The 21,420-nt window shown below is 51.6% G+C and overlaps 2 protein-coding genes and 1 non-coding gene across 4 annotated transcripts in view, besides 9 other annotated features; 1 reads left to right on the top strand and 2 right to left on the bottom strand.

Moving 5' to 3' along the window:
• Positions 1-21,420, top strand: part of SYN1 (synapsin I) — a 47,957-nt gene that overhangs the window by 24,610 nt on the left and 1,927 nt on the right. For both annotated transcript variants that reach the window (NM_133499.2, NM_006950.3), the window contains exons 6-12: positions 17,747-17,809; positions 18,608-18,750; positions 18,842-18,916; positions 19,015-19,117; positions 19,974-20,120; positions 20,473-20,560; positions 20,658-21,246. In NM_133499.2, coding sequence (NP_598006.1) covers positions 17,747-17,809; positions 18,608-18,750; positions 18,842-18,916; positions 19,015-19,117; positions 19,974-20,120; positions 20,473-20,560; positions 20,658-21,246 — 1,208 coding nt within the window. The remainder of the gene's footprint in view (positions 1-17,746; positions 17,810-18,607; positions 18,751-18,841; positions 18,917-19,014; positions 19,118-19,973; positions 20,121-20,472; positions 20,561-20,657; positions 21,247-21,420) is intronic.
• Positions 7,664-7,958: a silencer, noted in NCBI's record as "tiled region #5754; K562 Repressive DNase matched - State 18:Pol2". NCBI's record gives its function as "represses a minimal TATA promoter and a strong SV40 promoter by Sharpr-MPRA in K562 cells {active_cell/tissue: K562}" and the evidence as "EXISTENCE:reporter gene assay evidence [ECO:0000049][PMID:27701403]".
• On the bottom strand, positions 7,743-7,819 carry MIR4769 (microRNA 4769). The gene has a single exon (NR_039926.1). It is a non-coding gene; the product is annotated as a microRNA 4769 (primary transcript).
• TIMP1 (TIMP metallopeptidase inhibitor 1) lies at positions 8,459-12,812 on the bottom strand. The gene is made up of 6 exons (NM_003254.3): positions 12,774-12,812; positions 11,712-11,840; positions 10,233-10,312; positions 9,917-10,043; positions 9,581-9,705; positions 8,459-8,727 (listed from the first exon to the last, which is right to left on the bottom strand). Exons 2-6 carry the CDS (start codon positions 11,830-11,832, stop codon positions 8,557-8,559), a joined length of 624 nt encoding a protein of 207 aa, NP_003245.1. The 5' UTR covers positions 11,833-11,840; positions 12,774-12,812; the 3' UTR covers positions 8,459-8,556.
• Positions 12,855-12,954: a silencer, noted in NCBI's record as "silent region_20809". NCBI's record gives its function as "represses an Ori minimal core promoter by ATAC-STARR-seq in GM12878 lymphoblastoid cells {active_cell/tissue: GM12878}" and the evidence as "EXISTENCE:reporter gene assay evidence [ECO:0000049][PMID:35858748]".
• Positions 13,015-13,164: a silencer, noted in NCBI's record as "silent region_20808". NCBI's record gives its function as "represses an Ori minimal core promoter by ATAC-STARR-seq in GM12878 lymphoblastoid cells {active_cell/tissue: GM12878}" and the evidence as "EXISTENCE:reporter gene assay evidence [ECO:0000049][PMID:35858748]".
• Positions 15,282-15,802: a transcriptional cis regulatory region, noted in NCBI's record as "genic|chrX:47438845-47439365 region (GRCh37/hg19 assembly coordinates) targeted for CRISPR interference". NCBI's record gives its function as "negatively regulates HDAC6 gene expression in K562 cells {active_cell/tissue: K562}" and the evidence as "EXISTENCE:mutant phenotype evidence [ECO:0000015][PMID:31784727]".
• Positions 15,495-15,668: a silencer, noted in NCBI's record as "fragment chrX:47438979-47439152 (GRCh37/hg19 assembly coordinates)". NCBI's record gives its function as "represses an EF-1alpha promoter that drives an FKBP-Casp9 reporter gene in an ReSE screen in phorbol 12-myristate 13-acetate-treated (for megakaryocytic differentiation) K562 erythroleukemia cells {active_cell/tissue: K562(+PMA)}" and the evidence as "EXISTENCE:reporter gene assay evidence [ECO:0000049][PMID:32094911]".
• Positions 17,504-17,798: an enhancer, noted in NCBI's record as "tiled region #5152; HepG2 Activating non-DNase unmatched - State 10:DNaseD, and K562 Activating DNase matched - State 8:EnhW". NCBI's record gives its function as "activates a minimal TATA promoter and a strong SV40 promoter by Sharpr-MPRA in HepG2 and K562 cells {active_cell/tissue: HepG2 | K562}" and the evidence as "EXISTENCE:reporter gene assay evidence [ECO:0000049][PMID:27701403]".
• Positions 18,841-19,341: an enhancer, noted in NCBI's record as "H3K4me1 hESC enhancer chrX:47435306-47435806 (GRCh37/hg19 assembly coordinates)". NCBI's record gives its function as "activates a minimal SCP1, AML or CMV promoter by ChIP-STARR-seq in naive H9 embryonic stem cells {active_cell/tissue: H9 hESC(naive)}" and the evidence as "EXISTENCE:reporter gene assay evidence [ECO:0000049][PMID:30033119]".
• Positions 19,434-19,940: an enhancer, noted in NCBI's record as "H3K27ac-H3K4me1 hESC enhancer chrX:47434707-47435213 (GRCh37/hg19 assembly coordinates)". NCBI's record gives its function as "activates a minimal SCP1, AML or CMV promoter by ChIP-STARR-seq in primed H9 embryonic stem cells {active_cell/tissue: H9 hESC(primed)}" and the evidence as "EXISTENCE:reporter gene assay evidence [ECO:0000049][PMID:30033119]".
• Positions 19,941-20,448: an enhancer, noted in NCBI's record as "H3K27ac-H3K4me1 hESC enhancer chrX:47434199-47434706 (GRCh37/hg19 assembly coordinates)". NCBI's record gives its function as "activates a minimal SCP1, AML or CMV promoter by ChIP-STARR-seq in primed H9 embryonic stem cells {active_cell/tissue: H9 hESC(primed)}" and the evidence as "EXISTENCE:reporter gene assay evidence [ECO:0000049][PMID:30033119]".

Here is a 21,420-nt window from a genome sequence, read left to right as displayed (position 1 = left end):
GTAAAGAGTATTACATTACAAAGGATACAGATGAAGAGATGCAGAGGACGAAGCATGTGGGAAAGAGCACAGAGCTTCCATGCCCCACCCCCAGGTAGCCACCCTCCAGGAACCCCACATGTTCGGCTATCCAGAAGCTCTCCAACTCCATCCTCTTCAGCCCTTCATGGAGACTTCATTGCATAGGCAGGATTTATAACTGTATAGAAATGTGATGGGACAGCCAGGCGCAGTGGCTCACACCTGTAATCCCAGCACTTTGGGAGGCTGAGGCAGGCGGATCACCTGAGGTCGGGAGTTCTAGACCAGCCTGACCAACATGGAGAAACCCCGTACCTACTAAAAATACAAAATTAGCCAGGGGCAGTGGCGCATGCCTGTAATCCCAGCTACTCGAGCGGCTGAGGCAGGAGAATTGCTTGAACCAAGGAGACGGAGGTTGCGGTGAGCTGAGATCACACCATTGCACTCCAGCCTGGGCAACAAGAGCGAAACTCTGTCTCAAAAAAAAAAAAAAAGAAAAGAAAAGAAAGAAAGAAATGTGATGGGACAAAAAGGGTGTGATCTTGTACTAACAGACTGAGTGGGGAAACCCAGCAAGGCCTGTCTGTTCAGAGCCTTAGACTCTCTCTGCAACATCCCTTCCTTCTGGGTATTGGGCAGGACCCCTTCTAAAAGGGAGGTCTTTTTTTTTCTTTTTCTTTTTTTTTTTTTTGAGACAGAGTCTCACTTTGTCACCCAACTGGAGTGTGGTGGTGTGGTCTTGGCTCACTGCAGCCTCTGCCTCCCGGGTTCAAGCAATTCTCTTGCATCAGCCTCCCAAGTAGCTGGGACTACAGGTGTGTGCCACCACACCCAGCTAATTATTTTTGTATTTTTAGTAGAGATGGGGTTCACCATGTTAGCCAGGCTGGTCTTGAACTCCTGGCCTCAGGTGATCCACTTGCCTCTGCCTCCCAAAGTTCTGGGATTACAGACGTGAGCCACTGCACCCAGCCTTTTTTTTTTTTTTGAGATAGAGTCCGTGACTCTGTCGCCCAGGCTGGAGTGCAGTGGCGCAATCTTGGCTCACTGCAACCTCCGCCTCCTGGACTCAAGCAACCTTCCCACCTCAGCCTCCTGAGTAGCTGGGGCCACAGGTGCGTGCCACCATGCCTAGCTAATTCTTTTGTATTTTTTATAAGAGATTGGGTTTCACCATGTTGCTCAGGCTACTCTCAAACTCCTGAGCCTGAGCGATCTACCTGCCTTGGCCTCCCAAAGTGCTAGGATTACAGGCATGAGCCACCACGCCTGGTAATGCTGATTTAATTTTATATTTTTAAATGTAAGACGTTAGCGTGGTTCTAAAAGTCAAAATATAAAAAAGGCATCCACAGATAAAATAGAAAACCTAGATGAAAATAAGTAATTTCCTGGGGAAACACAGTTTACCAAAATCGACCCCATTAGAGGTTAACAAACCAATTTCCATAAAAGAAATAGAGAAAGTTTTTAAGGAACTTCCCCATAAAAAATCATCAGGCCCAGATGATTTCACAGGGGAATTCCACTGAAATGCTAGAGACTAGTTAATCCCAATGGCCACATAAATTGTTCCACAGAATGGAAAATGAAGACAAACTTCCATATTACCTTTCTAAAGCAATTATAACATTAATAGCACAAAGAAAAGCATAGACCTGGTGCAGTGGCTCACGGCTATAATCACAGCATGTTGGGAGGCCAGGGCAGGTGGATCACTTGAGATCAGGAGTTCGAGACCAGCCTGACCAACATGGTAAAACCCCATCTCTACTAAAAATATAAAAATTAGCTGGGCGTGGTGGTGTGCGCCTGTAGTCCCAGCTACTCCGGAGGCTGAGGCAGGAGAATAACTTGAACCCAGGAGGCAGAGGTTGAGTGAGCTGAGATCATGCCACTGCACTCCAGCCTGGGTGATAGAGCGAGACTTTGTCTCAAAAAAAAAAAAAAAGCATAGACCATTTTTACTATAAATATCAATGCAAAAATCCTAAATAAAATATTAGCAAACAAATTCAAAACCACATTAAGGGTGAGCACGGTGGCTTACATCGTAATCCCAACACTTTGGGAGGCCAAGGCAGAAGGATCACTTGAGCCCAGGAGTTCAAGACCAGCCTGGTCAACATGGTGAAACCCCATCTCTATCAAAAAAACAAAACAAAACAAAAAAAACACAAAATTAGCCAGACATGGTGGTGCACCCTTGTAGTCCCAGCTACTCGGGAGGCTGAGGCGGGAGGATCACTTAAGTCCAGGAGTTTGAGGCTGCAGTGAGCTATGATCCCACCACTGCACTCCAGCCTGGGTGACAGAGCGAGACCTTGTCTCAAAAAATAAAAATAAAAAAGAATGCAGTAACAGCAGCATATGAAATCAACATGCAGAAATCAGTAGTTTTTATATACACAAATAACCAGATAGAAGGTATAATAGAAGAGAAAACATATACAATAACAACAAAAAAAATAAGATATTTTGGGATAAGATCAACAAGGGATGTGCAAAGTGATATGAGGAAAAGTTTAAAACACTCCTGAAAGACACAAAGGTAGACTTAGGCAGATGGAAAGACATTCCTTGTTCTCGGGTAGAATGAATTAACATCATGAAAATGGCAGTTCACCTTCTCACGTCCTTATTTAATTTATATATTTAATGTGGTTCCCAAAAATATACCTACAAACTTATATCTAGAGCTAAATGAGTTGATAGTAAAGTTCATATGGAAAAGCGAACATGCAAGAAAAACTAGGAAAACCCTGAAAAAGAAAAGTGATAATAAGGACTCATACTCCCAGCCCACAGGGAGTCTGATGCCTCTGCCACCAGACATTTTACGAAGATTTCATTTATTTATTTATTTATTTATTTATTTATTTATTTGAGACAAAATCTTGCTGTATTGCCCAGGCCGGAGTGCAGTGGCATGATTGTAGCTCACTGCAGCCCCAACCTCCTGGGTTCCAGCAATCCTTCTACCTCAGCCTCCTGAGTAGCTATAATTACAGGTGCATGTATAGCTAATTTTTTTATTGTTTATTTTGTAGAGGCACGGTCTTGCTATGTTGCCTAGGTTGGTCTCAAACTCCTGGCCTCAAGTAATCCTCCTGCTTTGGCCTCCCCAAAACTCTGGGATTATAGGCATGAGCCGCCATGTCCAGCCTGAAACTTTTATAATTTAAATAGTGTGATGCTGACCCATGAATAGACAGGCTGACAGATTAAAGGAAGAAAAACAAAAGTCCAGTTATAGATCCATGTACATATGGAACTTTAGTGTATGATCAAAGTAGTGACTCAAGTCACTAGAGCAAAGAGGGACTTTTTAGTAAAGTTTCGTTTTTGCCATCTAAATTCTTCATTCTTCTGAAATTCCTTTTCATATACAGTGTGAAGGAGGTAGGGATTGAGTTCATCTTTTTCCTTATAGGTAAGCCCTTGTCCCCCACTGAGCTTGTATGCCACCTCTGTCATATATATACTAACTTTTTTTTTTTTTTGAGACAGGGTGTCTCTCTGTTGCCCAGGCTGGAGTGCAGTGGCGCGATCTTGGCTCACTGCAGCCTCCGCCTCCTGAGTTCAAGCAATTCTCCCACCTCAGCCTCCCAAGTAGCTGGGATTACAGGGGCATCCCACCACACCCAGCTAATTTTTGCATTTGTAGTAGAGACGGGGTTTCACCATGTTGGCCAGGCTGGTCTCGAACTCCTGACTTCAGGTGATCCACCCGCCTCGGCCTCCCAAAGTGCTGGGATTATAGGTGTGAGCCACCGCGCCCGGCCTATACTAACATTTCATATCTCTGTCCTGCAGGTTCAGAACTCTATTCTGTTCCATTGGCCACTTTCTGTAAACCTGTACCAAAGCCATACTACCTTAACAGCAACTTTTCTCATTAATTCCTGGTGCCTGGTAGGGCAGCAGCACCTCCTGGCTGTTTTGTAACTATGTAGTTCTGACAAGAGTAGAAACAGAAAGGGAACCACGAAGAGTGGGAACAGGAGCTGGAGCAGGGCTTGATAGCAGGGAACATGCAGGCAGAGCCTGATGGCCCACGCCTGTAATCCCAGCACTTTGGGAGGCTGAGCTGGGAGGATCGCTTGAGCCTAGGAGTTCCGGACCAGCCTGGGCAACATGATGAAACCCCGTCTCTACAAAAAATTAGCTGAGCATGGTGGCATGTGCCTGTAGTCCCAGCTACTTAGCTGGCTGAGGTGGGAGGATCACTTGAGCCCAGGAGGTTGAGGTTGCAATGAACCATGATTGCACCACTGCACTCCAGCTGGGGCAACAGAGTGAGACTCTGTCTCAAAAATAAAATAAAATAAAATAAAACATTTTACAAAAGAGTAGGGAATATGTAGAAGGACCAAGGGATAGGAAGTAGGCAACGGGGACAAGGAGCAGGGAATAGGAAGAAGAAGTAGGGGAGCAAGAGGCAGGAAGAACAGGGGTGAGCCACAACACAAAGGGGACGCCTGTGGCTGCGGGAGTCCCTGAGGGACTCACTCAAGGCCCCATCGCATCCTTTCCTATAGAAAGTCAGGAAGCCCTTTCTGGGCTCCTCCCTGAGCCCCTTCCAAGGATGCACCCCCCATCTCGCAGAGTGCAGACTTCTATCCCTCAAAGGACCTGGAGGGACAGAGGCCATGTCCCAAGGACCAGTGTAGCATGACCATATGTCCCTTGGCTAGGACATGCTATGATCCCCAAGTCTCAAAGACTCAGAACACTACGGACTGGGGACAGAATTTGCTGTGACGGGCTGAAGTTGGGAACATAGTATTGTGAGGCGGGGGTTCTTCGTGGGGAGAATGCTCCAGGGATGGGGACTTTTTGTTCCAGGGTGGTGCAGAGGGAGACCTGAGGGTGAGGAGTCCACACAGGGTGGGGACAGGTTGGCTGGCCTGCCGTTAGGAATCCCTAAAGGGGAACCTCTCCTCATGGTGTCGCCACAGTTGTTGTGGGTGGGCGTGTAGAAGGATCTAACCACATTGCTCTTTATTTTCAGGTGCTTCTGTGAGCCACAGGTTCAGGACTCCACTAGGAAACTGGATTGTCTGTGAGGGGGAAAAGAGAGAGGGACACTGGGACTGAGGAACATTTATGGCGTAAAGAGCTGGGATCTTAGTATCACATCAGGAGCTTTTGGGTCTCGGAGACCTACCCCATTCCTTCAGGCAGAGCAGGGTCAGGAGCTTGTATTTTGGTGAGGAGACTGGTGTGGGGGAGAAATGGACATTAAATTATTGGTACTAATCATACACATTATTTCCAATATCGTATATTATCATGCCTAATATCAAACATTGTTTGCAATATTATAAATAATCACTACTAAAGTTATAAGTTATAGTTATCATAACTACTTCTAGTAACTAATGCTTGTAAGTGCTATATGCCTAGCACTGTTCCAAGTACTTCACATATACAACCTCATTTAATATGGACATTGTCTCTATGAGTTAGGCCTTCTTTTTATCCCTGTCTTACAGATGCAGGAACTGAGGCTCAAAGAGGCAATATGATTTATTCAAGGACACAGAGCTAAGACATGGCAGGGGCAAGATTTGAATGCAGATGATCTGGCTCCAGGGTTCCTGCTTTTTTTTTTTTTTTTTTTTTGAGACGGAGTCTGGCTCTGTTGCCCAGGCTGGAGTGCAGTGGCTTGATCTCAGCTCACTGCAAGCTCCGCCTCCCAGGTTCATGCCATTCTCCTGCCTCTCGAGTAGCTGGGACTACAGGCGCCCACCACCATACTCGGCTAATTTTTTTTTTTTTTGGTATTTTTAGTAGAGACAGGGTTTCACCTTGTTAGCCAGGATGGTCTCGATCTCCTGACCTCGTGATCTGCCCACCTTGGCCTCCCAAATTGCTGGGATTACAGGCGTAAGCCACCATGCCCGGCCTTTTTTTTTTTTTTTTTGAGACAGTCTTGCTCTATCCCCCAGCCTGGGGTGCAGTGGCATGATCTCAGCTCCCTGCAACTTCCGCCTCCTGGGTTCAAACGATTCTTGTGCCTCAGCCTCCCAAGTAACTGGGACCACAGGGCATGCGCCACCACAGCTGGCTAAATTTTGTATATTTAGTAGAGATGGAAACCATGTTGGCCAGGCTCGTCTTGAACTCCTGACCTCGTGATCTGCCCACCTTGGCCTCCCAAAGTGCTAGTATTACAGGCGTCAGCCACCATGACTGTCCCATTTCCTGTGTTTTGACCCCCCCAAAAATATCCAAGGGGCAAAGACACCCCGTAAACATCCTCCAACCCCACCACAGACCTCTGAAGGATTCTGGGCCAGGACTGTGACGTCCATGTTTAAACATGGCGAGAAGGACTGAGGCTCAGGTGAGAGAAGGACTGGCCCCCCAGGCTCCCCACTGAGCTGGGTCCCATGCTGAATACCACATGGCTGTGACCCCTACAAGCTTCCTCTCAGCTGTCACAGAGTCTCTCCCAGAGATTCACCCACAGACACCCCGAATGCTGGGGATGGAGGATGCTCACTTGACCTATTTTAACAGATGTTCTACAAGAGCAATGGGGGATGTAATGAGCCCAGGGTTACAGATCCTGCCAGGAGCTCATGCCAGGTCTCTGGTGGAGGTAGCCTCGTCTGCTGTTCTGGGCTCTGTGTCCCCTGAGACCTGTTCTGGTCTCCGGTCCTCCCTGTCCATTCTGCATTGCACTTGGCGAAGGGCTGACCTGCAGGGTAGACAGGTCGGCAGGAGAACGACCTCCACGCTGGGTTCCATCCTTCCCCTGCTACTTCACCTTCCCCCTAGGGCTTGGAAGAGCTGAGGACTTAGGAAATGGGCCCTGAGGCCAGGGAGCAGCTTAAGAGTGCAGGTAGCTGACACTAAGGTTTGGCGAATTGCCAGGAGCGGTCAGCCTCTTGCAGGCAGCTGAGGGAACATTGACAAGGTCACCAGGGATGAACCAGGGCTCGGGCCCTTACCTTACAGTTGTGCCCATCAGCAAAGGCTGCGGTTGGCCCCTTCGGTGGACAAGGTTCAGACCCTCCGAGGGCGTAACCAAGGTGTAGATGTTGATGTAGAAATTGTTGCTGCATGCGCATTCCCTGCTTAAGTGGCTGAGTACTGTGTGTTCAAAATCTGCCCATTCCCATCCGGGACATAATTTGGGCCGTGGGGTAACCTCCCAGGAGTGTAAAAGGCTCTGGGACAGGACCACAGAAGATCCAGGGGGCTGTGCTTGGTGACCTAGAATGCCCTGGAGGAGACCTGGGTTCTTACTGGTAAGAGCAGTGGGTACTCTGATGAGAGGGAATTTGGGGGTCCTTTTCTTTACCAAAGGAGATATATTGGGGCCCTTTTCAAGCACGTTCAGGTCAGGAGGACACAGGTGCTCCATTGAATGTTTGCACCAGTCTGAAATTCTAGTTCCCAAGGGCCTCACTTGAGTCAAGACCTTTGGAGTATGAGGGGCAGGAGCCAGGGACTGGACCCCGCTGTGGAAGCAGGAAGGCCTCAGAGGGGAGTATTTGGAGGTTCTCTCACTCAGTTTTTCTAGAGAAAGGATGATTCATAAAGGTGAGGGTCGAGTCTAGAGACCCTAGTTTGGGTGAGGGGACAGTTGGGTTGAGGGAGGTGTGTGGAGGGTATGGGCCAGCATATCTGGCTGGTCTTAATTTTGAACCCTACCTGCATTTCATTGCTGTCAGTATTTCCTTCCAAGTTGGTCAGAGGAGTGAGGGGAGAAGTAGGGGAGGGAGGATGGCAGAGCTTGGGGATTTTTAGCTCATACCTTCTCTCCATCCCACCTCTCCTCTGCCCCAAACAGTCCCTTCCAAGGAATGTCCTGCAGCCATGGCTGGGGAGCCAGGGCCACCCCTTCTTCCCAAGTCCCCAGCTGGGTTACTGTGGGACTCTGGGTGCCCTGGGTCCCCTTTCACTCAAGTCAGACTCATGGTACAAAACCTGAGGATGAGGACAGTAACACCCACGTGTTTGGATGGGGCATCCTCACTGGACAACATCAGGACTGTGCTTGAGGCAATGATAGTCATTTGCCAATTGGTAGGGCATTTGTCAATGACTCTGTCAGCTGGCAAGATGTGTGAATGGGGAATTTCCAGTAAGGCAGTGATTTGTCAGCTGTGGGATAATTTATAACTAGAAAGCCCTGGGCAAATAGCAATTAGGAATCAGTATAGGAAAATGTTTTAAAGTATTGGCTGGAGAAATTATTCAGAGGTTACGGTTGATAATGCAGGTTCAGTGACCATTGCTGCTGTTGCAGATCATCAGTGCTAATGCCAATGTTGAGAATTACTACCAGTACATCAGAATTTAAGTAAAATATAAAAACCCAACATTTGGCATCCCTCATCCCCACTGGTCCCAGGGTGCTCACACCAGGTCATCAGCAACATGGGTTTGTTCCCAGGCACTACACAGAAACAGTGTCTGCTGGGTGGTAACTCTTTATTTCATTGTCCGGAAGAAAGATGGGAGTGGGAACAGGGTGGACACTGTGCAGGCTTCAGCTTCCACTCCGGGCAGGATTCAGGCTATCTGGGACCGCAGGGACTGCCAGGTGCACAGCCCTGGCTCCCGAGGCAGGCAGGCAAGGTGACGGGACTGGAAGCCCTTTTCAGAGCCTTGGAGGAGCTGGTCCGTCCACAAGCAATGAGTGCCACTCTGCAGTTTGCAGGGGATGGATAAACAGGGAAACACCTGGAAGGGAGGAGGGAAACATCTCTGAGGGCTTCTCCCTGCCTCCCCCGTGGAGCAGAACTTCCTCTCCTCAGCTTTCAACACTGAGCCGCTGGGGAGACTTGCTCTCACCCCACCTAAGTACATACCCCAGGACAGCCCCTCCCATTGAGGGAAATGTCACTGGGTCCTGAAAGGTAACAGTAAGCCAGTAAATCAGTGTCCTGGAATGGTGGCTGGGGAATAGGCCCTGGGGGTCAGTCAGGCAGGTCGCCTGTGGAATTGTCCCAAAGGACAGGGAAAAACTGGCAGTAGTAAGGGGCCCCACCCGGTTGGCGGCTAAGGAGTTTAAGCACAGGAATAGCCAGTGGGGCTTCAAGATAGTCACTGGGCTCAGAGGCCATCAGGAGCCATCAGGGAACAGGCTTGGACTAGCCAGGAGGTCAGTGTAACACCCTCTGGTGTCTGGAATAGTCAGAGCTGCAGAGCAACAAGCAGATGTGCTGAGGAAGGGTCAGTGGGATTAGGGAACAGCACTTTGGGTTCTTGGAGAACATTCTGGGGAACCAAGAAACAATCCCGGGGGCTCAGGAACGGGGAGTGGGATTACAGAATAGTCACAAGGGAGAATTAGAGGGACCAGGGAGGGACAGGTGATCACACGGTATTGGACACAGGGAAAGGGAGCAGCCAGAATTTGTAAGGGAGCAGTCTCGGGCTTGGGGAAATAGCAAGAGAGATCAGGGACAGCCCTTAGGGTTGGGGAGCAGCCACAGGGACACAGAATAGCCAGAGGGAGCAAGAAACAAGCCCACGATTTAGGGAATGGCCCCGGGAAGGATCTCCCGTTGGAGGTCAGGGTCCAGGCACTCACTGTGCATTCCTCACAGCCAACAGTGTAGGTCTTGGTGAAGCCCCGGCGCTGAGCTAAGCTCAGGCTGTTCCAGGGAGCCACAAAACTGCAGGTAGTGATGTGCAAGAGTCCATCCTGCAGTTTTCCTAAGGAGAAAGGCGGGGCGGGGACCGACAAGCAGCTTGTGATTGGCTGAGCTGCCAAGCTGCCAAAGGCCCGGCCTTCTGATAGACTGAAATTGGGGTGGTCCCCATTTCCAGTGGGACCATTCCCATCAGAGCCTCGCCCCCTCGTGGTTGCTAGGCCGCGCCCCAGGGACTGGTTGGTGTGGCACAGGGCGCGGGGACGGTGCCTCACCAGCAATGAGAAACTCCTCGCTGCGGTTGTGGGACCTGTGGAAGTATCCGCAGACACTCTCCATGGCGGGGGTGTAGACGAACCGGATGTCAGCGGCATCCCCTAAGGCTTGGAACCCTTTATACATCTGTTGATGGATGAGGGGAAGTGTCTCTTTTACTGACATAATCCTCCCACTCCAGGTTCTTCCCTGAAGTCATATAGCATCCCAAGATCACAGCCAACTTTCTCGCACCAACCAGTGGCCAGAAGTTTCTGTTTTGACCAGGAGGAAGATGTTAGAAAATGCTGGGAAAGAGGCGGGGGCAGGGGATACCTTGGTCATCTTGATCTCATAACGCTGGTATAAGGTGGTCTGGTTGACTTCTGGTGTCCCCACGAACTTGGCCCTGATGACTGCAGGAGAGGAGGGAAATATGAGTCAAATGGACTGCATGAGCCAATAAAAATAAGATCATCATCATCATCATCATCATACCAGCAAAGCGCATACATAAATAGGGGTTATTGGATGCCAGACAGCACACAAAGTGATTTACACATTTGTTCATTGATTCATCTGTATGTTGAGTGTCTCTCTTTGCCGGGCACTGCTTAAGCCATTTTCATACATTGATTTGTTCATTTACTCCTCAAATATTTGGGAGTGCCCACTGTGTGCCAGACATTGTTCTGGGTGTTAGGGACACAACAGTGAACAAAACACAGAAATCCCTTTCCTTGTGGAGTTCACATTCTAGCCAGGAGGAGACAGGCTAAGAACAAACAAAATAAGGATATGGAATGTTAGACATTAAGTATAATGGGGAATTACAGACCTGGGTAAGGGGCTGACAAAGATTCTTTGCTTGACCAAACTTTACTCAGGCTCCTGAACCTCCTCCTAGGCCCATCTGTGCACTTCCTTGTAAAATCCAGTTTTAGCCGAGAGCCTTGCTAAGTCAGTTTAGCAAGAACCCCTATATTCTATATCTGATCATCCTCAATCTCTGATCATCCTCAATACCTGATCATCCTCAATCTCTGATCATCCTCAATACCTGATCATCCTCAATCTCTGATCATCCTCAATACCTGATCATCCTCAATCTCTGATCATCCTCAATCTCTGATCATCCTCAATACCTGATCATCCTTGCTATCTGACTGGGTTCTTCATCTTCCACCATCCCCCAGGTGATGTCTGATTCCCCTTGGCCTGCCTTCAGCAAGAATCCTGTTACGTCGGTTTAGCCAGAATCCCCCTTACCCCTGATGTTTCTTCTTAGTAATTTCCACCCACAGACCCTCACACTGCTCCTTAGCTACACATTCCCACTGGCCCATGCTATATTCAGTGTTGAGCCCAATCTCTCCCACCGACTGCAAGATCCCATTGCAGTGGTTCCTATACCCATCACCATGGTCCTGAATATGGTCTTCCTTACTGTGTTATAACAAGTATCACTGAATATTTTTCTGTTTAACAGGAGATCAGGAGTACTAAGGGGCAGGGGTTAAAATTTTAAACAGGATGGCCAGGGAAGGCCATCCTGAGAAGGTGACGTTTGAGGCAGCCACCCATGTGGATACCTGGGGGGAAAGTGTACCAGGCAGAGGGAGCAGCCAGCATGCAGATCCTGTGGTGGGCTTGGGCACAGAGTACTCAAGGAAGTGTGAGGATGCCAGTGTGGCTAAAGCAGAGGAAGTGCAGGGGCGAGTGGAATCATTCTAGAGGTAAGTGCCATGGTGAGCCCCACTGGACTGAAAGGGAAACCAAGGCAGAGTGTGTGGGCTGAGTGGGGTGAGGACTCACCGAGGTCGGAATTGCAGAAGGCCGTCTGTGGGTGGGGTGGGACACAGGTGCAGGCCCTGCTGGGGGCTATCAGCCACAGCAACAACAGGATGCCAGAAGCCAGGGGCTCAAAGGGGGCCATGGTGGGTTCTGTGGGGAAGGGGGATGTCAGGCAGGCCCCGGCCCAGCTGATCTGCTGACCTGGGCAGGTCATCCACCCCATCTTGCCCCGGGGCAGCCTATGGGGGGGATTAGGGGGCTGGATTTGGGCTTGAGGGGTTGGTAAGCTTAGGGATTTTAAGGGGATTGGGGAGCGCAGAGGAATTTAGGGTTTAGAGAGTTGGGAGAGTTTAAATTATTGAGGGACTGAGTGAGTTGCGGGGTTATGGGGTTGTGGCACTTGGGGGAGAAGGGGGCTGAGGAAGTTTGAGGAATGAGGGGATTGGGGAATTCTGGAGGTTGAGGAGTTTGGGGGTGAGGAATTTGGGATTGGGGGCTGGAGGAGTTTGGAGACGGCAGAGTTTAGGGGTTGTGTATATTAAGAGATATAAGAGGCTGGGGGAATTTAGGGAGGTTGAGGAATTTGGAGGAGGTTGGGGGTTTAGGGAGCTGGGGGAGTTTGGAGGTTGAAGGGGTTGGGGGAATTTGGGGGCTTAAGGCAATGGGGATACTTGAGGAATTTGAGGGCAAAAGAAGTTTGGGAGCTGGGGAACTGGGGATTGGGGAGCTGGGGGAGTTTAGGGAGCTGCAGGGGTTAGCGGTGGGTATTTAGGGGGCGATGAGGGAAATTTCGGGATGAAGGAATTTGCGGGGGGATTTGGAAAGCATTTGTGATATTAGGGGGTCATGGGTTTGGGGGAATTGGGGGCGGATGTCAGGGGTTCTAGGGAGTTTGGAGCCTCGGGGTTGGGAAAGCAGTTCCAGCCTCCGACCCTCTTCCCCCTAGACTAGCCCAGGGTCCTGGTACCCGCAGGCCAAGCTGAGTAGACAGGCATCTGGCACGGGAGTGCACGGGCCTGGTGGCCAGCACCCAAGCTGCAGCCCAGCTCCGGTCCCTGCTGGGCCACCCCGGGCCCTGCTTACCTCTGGTGTCTCTCTGGGCGCTGGATCTGCGGCGATGGCGGCAGGGCCTGAGCGCTAGAGGATAAATGTCCACGCTAGGGGCGGGGGTGGCAGCGGGTGCGGAAACCACAGGCCTCCAGGCTTCCTGGATGCATTACTCATCCACCCACCATCAGTGCAGAAGCCAAGGGGCGGGCCGACGAAAGGAGATACACCCTCCTCCTCTCCCACCCGCCTCCTCTCCCTCTCCCTGGGCCTCGCCCGGGCCAGCCACCTCCCCCACCTCCACGTCAGTCACTATTCCTTCCAAGCCGCCTCAGCGGAGAGCTTAGAGGCCGCATTTCCCCCGGCCCAGTCCCCTAAAGTCTCCAGAATCTATCCAATCACCCACATCCCCCAAGCTCCCTATGACTCAAACCCAAATTAGTTCAGCCCTTCAACATTTATTGTGCATCTACTGTGTGCCAAGCACACAAAAATCCCTTGTTTTGTATGTCTGACATGCTGGTGAGGGGTGGCAGAGAGGAAACAAATTAAGTAGCAGCAGTGGAGGGAGATAAGGCAGGTGAAAGGGGAGGAATACAAAATGGGGAAACTGAGGCACGGAGTGGTTAAGTGACTTACCCAGGATCACAGAGTCAATACATGGCAGAACTGAGACTGGAACTCAGGTGGCCAGGAGCCAAAGCCAGGGTCTCAAATAACACAGGCAAATAGCCGGCATTTATACAGCACCTACTGTATACCAGGCACTCAGCATAGTTTATCTCACTCAAAGCTCACAACAAATCTCTGAGATGGGTACCGGTTCTTATTCCCGTTTTACGGATGAGGAAATATGGGGCGTAGAGGAACTGTAGAATTTTCCTAAGATCACAGGGCATGGCCGGGATTCAAACAGAGGCTACCTGGCACCAGGGTTGTAACTCAGGAGTGGCACCGTCCTAGCAAGCAGGGAATGGTGCGGGTGAATGAATGAGCATTGGGAAGGGGGTGGCCATGAATGATGGTGAAAGAAGCAAGTGAGTGGGTCAGTAGAAAACTAATCCCCACCCCATCCTGCCCTGCCCCCTCCCCATGGACCTGTACCCCTGGTGGGGGGTGGGGTGGGGCAATCCTTGCCCACCAGCTTTCTGACAATGCAGGAACCTTCCCTGGGGTTCTGATTAACATCCTTAATTCGAGGAGGATAGATCAATAATAATAATTGTAGTGATGATGGCAGCCACTTATTGAGCACTTTCTGTGTACTATGTGCTAAAGTGTTTGTATAAATTATCTCATTCACTCACCATACTCCCTTGCTAATTAAGTTTGATTAACTCAGGGATGATAGCCCAATAACAAGAACACAACAAAAACTACCAGCAGCCCTTATGGAGTGCTTACTGCGTATCCAGCACTATTCTGGGTGGGAGGAATGTGAGGGATGAGAAATTGCCTAATGGGTACAATGTACACTATTTGGTTGATGGGGACACTAAAAGCCCAGACTTCACCACTATGTAATATATCCATGTCACAAAACTGCAGCTGTACCCTCTAAATCTATTTTTTTTTTTTGACAAGAGTCTTGCTCTGTCACCTAGGCTGGAGTGCAGTGGCGCGATCTCAGCTCACTGCAACCTCCGCCTCCGGGGTTCAAGAGATTCTCCTGTCTCAGCCTCCTGAGTAGCTGGGATTACAGCCACACCACCACCACCCCCAGCTAATTTTTGTAGTTTTAGTAGAGACGGGGGTTTCACCATATTGGTCAGATCTCGAACTCCTGACTTCAGGTGATCCACCTGCCTCGACCTCCCAAAGTGTTGGGATTACAGGCGTGAGCCACCACACCCGGCCTTCTAAATCTTTTTTTTTTTTTTAGACAGAGTTTCGATCTTGTTTCCCAGGCTGGAGTGCAATGGCAAGATCTTGGCTCACTGCAACCTCCACCTCCTGGGTTCAAGCAATTCTCCTGCCTCAGCCTCCTCAGTAGCTGGGGTTACAGGCACACGCCACCACGCCTGGCTAATTTTTGTATTTTTAGTAGAGACGGGGTTTCACCATGTTGGCCAGGCTGGTCTCAAACTCCTGACCTCGGGTGATCCGCCCACCTCAGCCTCCCAAAGTGCTGCGATTACATGCGTGAGCTACGGCACCCAGCCTAAATCTATTTTTTAAGAAAGCACTTGGCCGGGCATGGTGGCTCACACCTGTAATCCCAGCACTTTGGGAGGCTGAGGCAGGCAGATCGCTTGAGCTCAGGAGTTCAAGACCAGTCTGGGCAACATGGTGAAACCCTGTCTCTATTTAAAAAAAAAAAAAAAAGCACTGTTCTAAAGTCTTTTTACAGACATTATCTCATTTAATCAATCCCGATTGCCTCTTTGTTCATTAATGTTAGTTAAGGAAGAGATGTTAAGCCAATAATAAGAGTACCCAACACTTCTTGAGGATCGAGGCTTACTGTATGCCCGATACCATGTAGAGCATTTTTCCCAAAATAACTAACTTATTTCTCACAATATCCCTGTGAGTTAGATATAGCTCATGTTCTCATTATACAGATGAGGAAACTTAGACACAAAAGGGCTGAGTGACCTACCCAGGAATGAGAATGAAGAAATGGCTCTGCTGCGGGGTGGTGGGGGGAGGGTGGGGGGGCGACAAAAACAGGGAGGAAGGGAAGTAAACCAAAAAAATCTGTAGGAGCTGATTATGAAAGTGGGACAGTGAGAGTGAATGAGACGGGGCTGAGTAACCTGGTGCCTCCGAGGGAGAAGTGAGGGCAGGGGAAGTCCTGCCTTGGCCCCTCGCTGACTCTGGTTCTGACGCCAACTCTTTGAAACCTGAGTCAGCACAGAGTGTTGCCGACTGTTTACATGAGGAGTCGTGTGGATCCGGTTATTGTGCAGTTTTGAAATGGAGAGTGGGAGGGGTGTTCATGGAGGGGTGTGTGACCATCTGGGGAGCTGGATGGGTGTGGGGGCCCATGGGGGTCCAGGAGGCATGTGCAAAGCGGACACCTGACAATGCCCACAGCATACCAGGTGCTTGGGCCTCATTGTGCTCTTTGTGCAGATGGGGAAACTGAGGCTCAGGGAGAGGTTGTGTCCTTCATGGCCTTAGGAAGAAGAAAGGCCAAAATTCAGACCTAGGGCTTTCCAGGAGCTCCCAGAGTCAGAGTTCAAAGCACTCTGCATGCACACATGTATGGGCACACACACATATACAGAGCGTTGTGTTCAGGCTCAAGTCCAGAGAAAACAAGGACAGTTAACGAAAAGAGGCACCTAGAAACCTCAGGGTTGTTGGGGGAGGTATGGGTGTGTACGCACAGCTCTCTGGTGTGTTGTGTGTCCATTGCTAAGAGTCGAGCATGTGCCTGTGTGTTTTGTGTGTTACTTCTGGGAGTTGTCTACCAGCCTCGGCAAAGCGGATCTGGGTTGCATATGTAACTGAGTGCATTATGCACTTCTGTGTGCTGTGCGCACACCTGGGTGGTACTGTATGCATCCGCCTCGGCATCGTTTCCCTGGCCCGCTGCCCAGAGATGCCCCAAACCCCCGTCCCAACATCGTGCCTCTCAGCCCACCTCATAATGACGCCAGTCATTTGGGAAATGAGGAAGGGGGGGTGTGCAGAGGGAGGCCTTAAGGTCAATCGGTCACCCTGAGTCTGCGGGCTTCCTGTGCCTGTCGGGAACTGGGAACCACCACCGCCCCAGCAGCCCCTCCGGGAATGCCATCTCTCTACCTTGTCAGCGAGAGGGAGGGCCACCAGAGGGGCACTGTGCAGCTGTGCTGTGGGGGTGGGGGTGGAGGGAGCGGGGAGCCTAGGGCCGTCCAACCTGGTTTCCTCTACCCCATCCAGGAGCGGGGGAGACTTGAGGTATCCCTCTCGCCTGAATGTGTGACTGTATGTGTGTTGGGGTGGGAGTGCCCAGGAATGTTTTCTGCAAACTGAGTTGTGGGTGTCTCTGGTTGTGTGTAGCCTCTCTGTATTGTATATGTGGCAAGGCATGTTGTGTGTGTGTCTAGATATACTTTTTGTATGCCCAGGAATGTGGCGTGGGTCTCTTACGGGTCCCAGTGGTGATGTGAATACCTAGAAGTGCATACACCTCTGTGTGTTGTGTAGGGCCTTATTTGCTGTGCATTTGCCTAGGGGTGTTTTATGTGTGCCTGTGTGTTGAGTATGTGCCCGGTTCTGTGGAGTGTGCCTGTGGAGTTGTGTGTCTCTTGATTGGACGGGTAATCTTTTGTGTTGTGTGTGTTCCCCTGATGGTGATGTGGGTTTGGGTGAGGGGAGGGAACCTGGGTGTGTGCCCAAGTATTGATTGTGTGCCTAAGGGTGTCCAGTGTGTGCTGCCCTGGAGTGCTGGCTGCTGACCCACGCTATGGGCACCTGGCTGGCTGAATGACTGTGTGGGTGTCTGTGCTGCTCCAGAGCTCATGTGCTTTGAGCCTGTGTTGGCTGTCAGTCTCAATGTCACTGGCATCTCTGGGTTTGGCGATGTACATCTGAGTTCCAAGGGCTCATGCCTCTCAATAGTTTATGTGTGCAGGTGAGGCTTACATACAAGGTTTGGCTGAGGGGTTCAGTCACTACATGCTCACCACCACTCCCCACCCCCCCCACCCCCACACACACGCACTGGCACACACTTGCCTCACTATCATCCATCCACTGTAAAAACAAACTTTCTTTTTACTGGAACAGTCCCCCACGCTCATACCATGCCTCTGCCCGGGAAAGCAGGGGCGGGACGTCTGGAACTTGTTGGTGGGGTGGAGTGAGGGACAGACAGACAGGGCTCTGGGTTCAATTCTGGGCCCGGAGGTGGAGACACTGTGTGACCCCCAGCTGCTGCCTGCCTGTCTCTGACCTGTGTGTCCTGGGAAGTGACTCATAATGCAGTTCCCACTGGCTGGGATCCCCTCAGTGCCGCCCCACCCCTGGAGGTCACCCTTTCTGCCCTGAGCATGTCTCCTCTGCCTTTTCCCCACCAGCTCAGCAGTACAACGTACCCCGTGGTTGTGAAGATGGGGCACGCACACTCTGGGATGGGCAAGGTGAGTCTCTGGCTGGGCTGTGCATAGGTAGATGTGTATTTGTGCAATGCACACCAGTCATTCTGTGTGATCGCGTCTCCTGGGGTGTCGTTATCTATCAGGTTGGTGCAAAAGTAATTGCGGGTTTTGCCAGTTCTTATGGTAAAAACCACAATTACTTTTGCACCAACCTAATAGATTTTTGTTTTCTCACATTCAGCTGACCTCATCGACCCCTTTTTCCTCCTGCATTCAGCCAATTTTGTGTGTCCTGTTATTTTGCTTGTCTCCAGCATCGTGTCTGTGTGTACATGCATGCCTGTGCCGAACACACATGATGTGGTGTGATCTTTTATGTTCCAAAGTCTTGGGGTCCTGTGTGCTTTACATCCATCTGATTTTGTCTCTGTGTACGTAGAAAGTAGACTTGTAATTTGTGTCCGAGTTTCTGTATCTTAGCATGTTGTGTGTACAATTGATTTTGTGTCTGGATGCCTATATTAGTATATTGTACATACACAGTTTTTTCACAGCTTTAGTGAGAGATAGTTCACACACCCTACAACTCACCCATTTAAAGTAGACAATCCAATACATTTTGGTATGCTCAGTGTTCTACACACCCAACTTTGTGCCTGTGTGCTCACATACAAAACAGGAGACCCATGATCGTGCCTGCTTGAGCGCCTTGGCATGTCCACCTAATTTTTGTGTACTCGCCTCACCTGTGTGTCATGTATACATGCTCCCCCAGGCACCCCCACTCCCCACAGCTGCCCTATCCTGACCAGGCCCTGATCCTTGCCCGCACTTCCACAGGTCAAGGTTGACAACCAGCATGACTTCCAGGACATCGCAAGTGTCGTGGCACTGACCAAGACGTATGCCACTGCCGAGCCCTTCATCGATGCCAAATATGACGTGCGTGTCCAGAAGATTGGGCAGAACTACAAGGCCTACATGTGAGTGGAGAGACCAAAGCCCTGGAAGGGGTCCCCTGCCTTGCCTCATGCAGCTGAGGCACCCCTGAGCTTCTGTCCCCTTGTCCCCCAGGAGGACGTCAGTGTCAGGGAACTGGAAGACCAATACTGGCTCTGCGATGCTGGAGCAAATTGCCATGTCTGACAGGTGGGCAGCCCGAACTCAGGGTGTGAGGGGAAGCGGGGGTGGGAGCACGACAGCTCAGGTGAGAGACTGACAGGCTTCCCCACCCTTTGTCTTGGCAGATACAAGCTGTGGGTGGACACGTGCTCAGAGATTTTTGGGGGACTGGACATCTGCGCAGTGGAAGCGCTACATGGCAAGGACGGAAGGGATCACATCATTGAGGTATGAGCACCCAGGGGTAGGTGGGGTAGAGGGAGGAACAGATGCCAGGCAGCAGCAGTGCAAACTGAAGCACTCCATGGCACAGAGGTCCTCAGCCAACAGCAATGTGCTTAGTACACTGTAAGGTGCCTGACGAACTTTCGAAGGGGCCATCCCTTGCAATGGCAGAACACTAGACTGAACTTGCACGTCCCTGGTGACTAGCAAAACCCTTATTAGATTGTTTAGTGCTCTGCGAATCGAGACATCTTGGTGAATGGCGAGGCACTTAGTAACCTTTAAAGTATTCTGCGAACTGGACCGACAGCAAAGCATTTTGGAAAGGACAAAGCACCTAGAAAACCGTGAAGCAGGGATCGGCAAACATTTTCTGTAAAGGAGCAGACGGTACATATTTTAGGCTTTGTAGGCCACGTAGCCTCTGCCGTAACTACTCAACTCTGCAAAAGCAGCCATAGACGATATGTTAAAAAAATAAGTGTGGCTGTGTTCCAATAAAACTTTGTTTATGGACATTGAAATTTAAATTTCATGCCATTTTCGCATGTTATAAAATCTTTCGATTTTTTTCAACTGTTACAAAATTTAAAGACCCATCCTTAGCTCTGGGTCATACAGAACCAGGTGGTCGGCCAGGTTGGGCCCATGGGCCCTAATTTGCTGAGCCCTGCTCTGAAGCACCTTCTAAGCTGTAAGGTACCTTGGAACAGACAAGCCTTCCTCACCGTGCACAATCAGTGCCTCAGACACTGGGGCTCAGCGGCGGCCATGCCCTTGGCCAACTGAAAGCACGGTGTTACTGCCGCCTCAGGTGCGAGGCCTGCCTCTCCCCTCACGGATCCTTTCCTTCCCCCAGGTGGTGGGTTCCTCCATGCCGCTCATTGGTGACCACCAGGATGAAGACAAACAGCTCATCGTAGAGCTCGTGGTCAACAAGATGGCTCAGGCCCTGCCCCGGCAGCGACAGCGGGATGCCTCCCCTGGCAGGGGCTCCCATGGCCAGGTCAGGCCCCTGGCGCTGAGCTAGTGGCTTGAGCTAGTGTGGGGAGGCCGGCCCTGGGTCATGCTGTGCCATGAAGCTGATAATCTGTAGGCTCACAGCATCACCTTTGCACACATGTGGCTGCGATTGCCAATTGTTTAAAACATTGATAAGCAGCTGCTGCCCTGACTTCCCTGAGCACCTCCCTGCCCCGCCCCTGGGAACAGGTCCCCCACCCCACAACCCAGAGTACCCTCAGCTCAGCCACAAGTGGGGCAACACCCAGCGCACAGGGAACCTGTGTCATCACTGGCTGATGCTCCACTGGCTGGTAACTATTTTTAACCTCTCCTGCTCCATTCCTCTGCCGCAGACTCCGTCCCCAGGGGCCCTGCCCTTGGGCCGCCAGACCTCCCAGCAGCCCGCAGGGCCCCCGGCTCAGCAGCGACCCCCACCACAGGGTAAGCGAGAGGCTGGCGGTCGCAGTCCCCTCCCTCAGCCCGCCATCTCTTACCCGCTCACTCTCACGTGTGCTCTTTCTCTCCCTCTGTCCCCCAGGCGGCCCTCCACAGCCGGGTCCAGGCCCCCAGCGCCAGGGACCCCCATTGCAGCAGCGCCCGCCCCCGCAGGGCCAGCAGCACCTTTCAGGCCTTGGACCCCCAGCTGGCAGCCCCCTGCCCCAGCGCCTTCCAAGTCCCACCTCAGCGCCCCAGCAGCCCGCGTCCCAGGCCGCGCCGCCGACCCAGGGTCAAGGCCGCCAATCCCGGCCAGTGGCGGGAGGCCCCGGGGCGCCTCCAGCAGCCCGCCCGCCCGCCTCTCCGTCTCCCCAGCGCCAGGCGGGCCCCCCACAGGCTACCCGTCAGACATCCGTCTCTGGCCCGGCTCCGCCAAAGGCCTCTGGGGCCCCACCGGGCGGGCAGCAGCGCCAGGGCCCGCCCCAGAAACCCCCAGGCCCAGCCGGCCCCACACGCCAGGCCAGCCAGGCGGGTCCCGTGCCCCGCACTGGGCCACCCACCACGCAGCAGCCTCGGCCCAGCGGCCCGGGCCCCGCTGGACGTCCCAAACCACAGCTGGCCCAGAAACCCAGCCAGGACGTGCCGCCACCCGCCACCGCCGCTGCAGGGGGACCTCCGCACCCCCAGCTCAAGTAAGGGGACCCCTACAGCAGCCTTCGCCTTGCTGCTCACAAAGCGGGCCGCTGCCCCAGTAGAGCAGCCCTAGCTCCCTTGCTCCTCAGACCCAGGTCCTATGCAGGGGTCCCACGAACTCTCTCCAGCCTGAGCCAAGCCCTTCCCCCAAGCTTTCGCTCCTCCCGGCCCAC

The sequence above is a fragment of the Homo sapiens genome, chromosome X (assembly GCF_000001405.40).
Source record: "Homo sapiens chromosome X, GRCh38.p14 Primary Assembly".
Classification (NCBI taxonomy): domain Eukaryota; kingdom Metazoa; phylum Chordata; class Mammalia; order Primates; family Hominidae; genus Homo; species Homo sapiens.
This window is presented reverse-complemented; position numbering and strand designations above follow the sequence as displayed.

Bases quoted from the DNA above. Each gene is read 5' to 3' on its own strand.
- TIMP1 (NM_003254.3), bottom strand. From the start codon at position 11,832: ATGGCCCCCTTTGAGCCCCTGGCTTCTGGCATCCTGTTGTTGCTGTGG. The intron at 10,313-11,711 runs GTGAGTCCTCAC...CCTCTCCTGCAG, and splicing joins CTTCTGCAATTCCGACCTCG to TCATCAGGGCCAAGTTCGTG. The intron at 10,044-10,232 runs GTATCCCCTGCC...ATCCATCAACAG, and splicing joins ATGAGATCAAGATGACCAAG to ATGTATAAAGGGTTCCAAGC.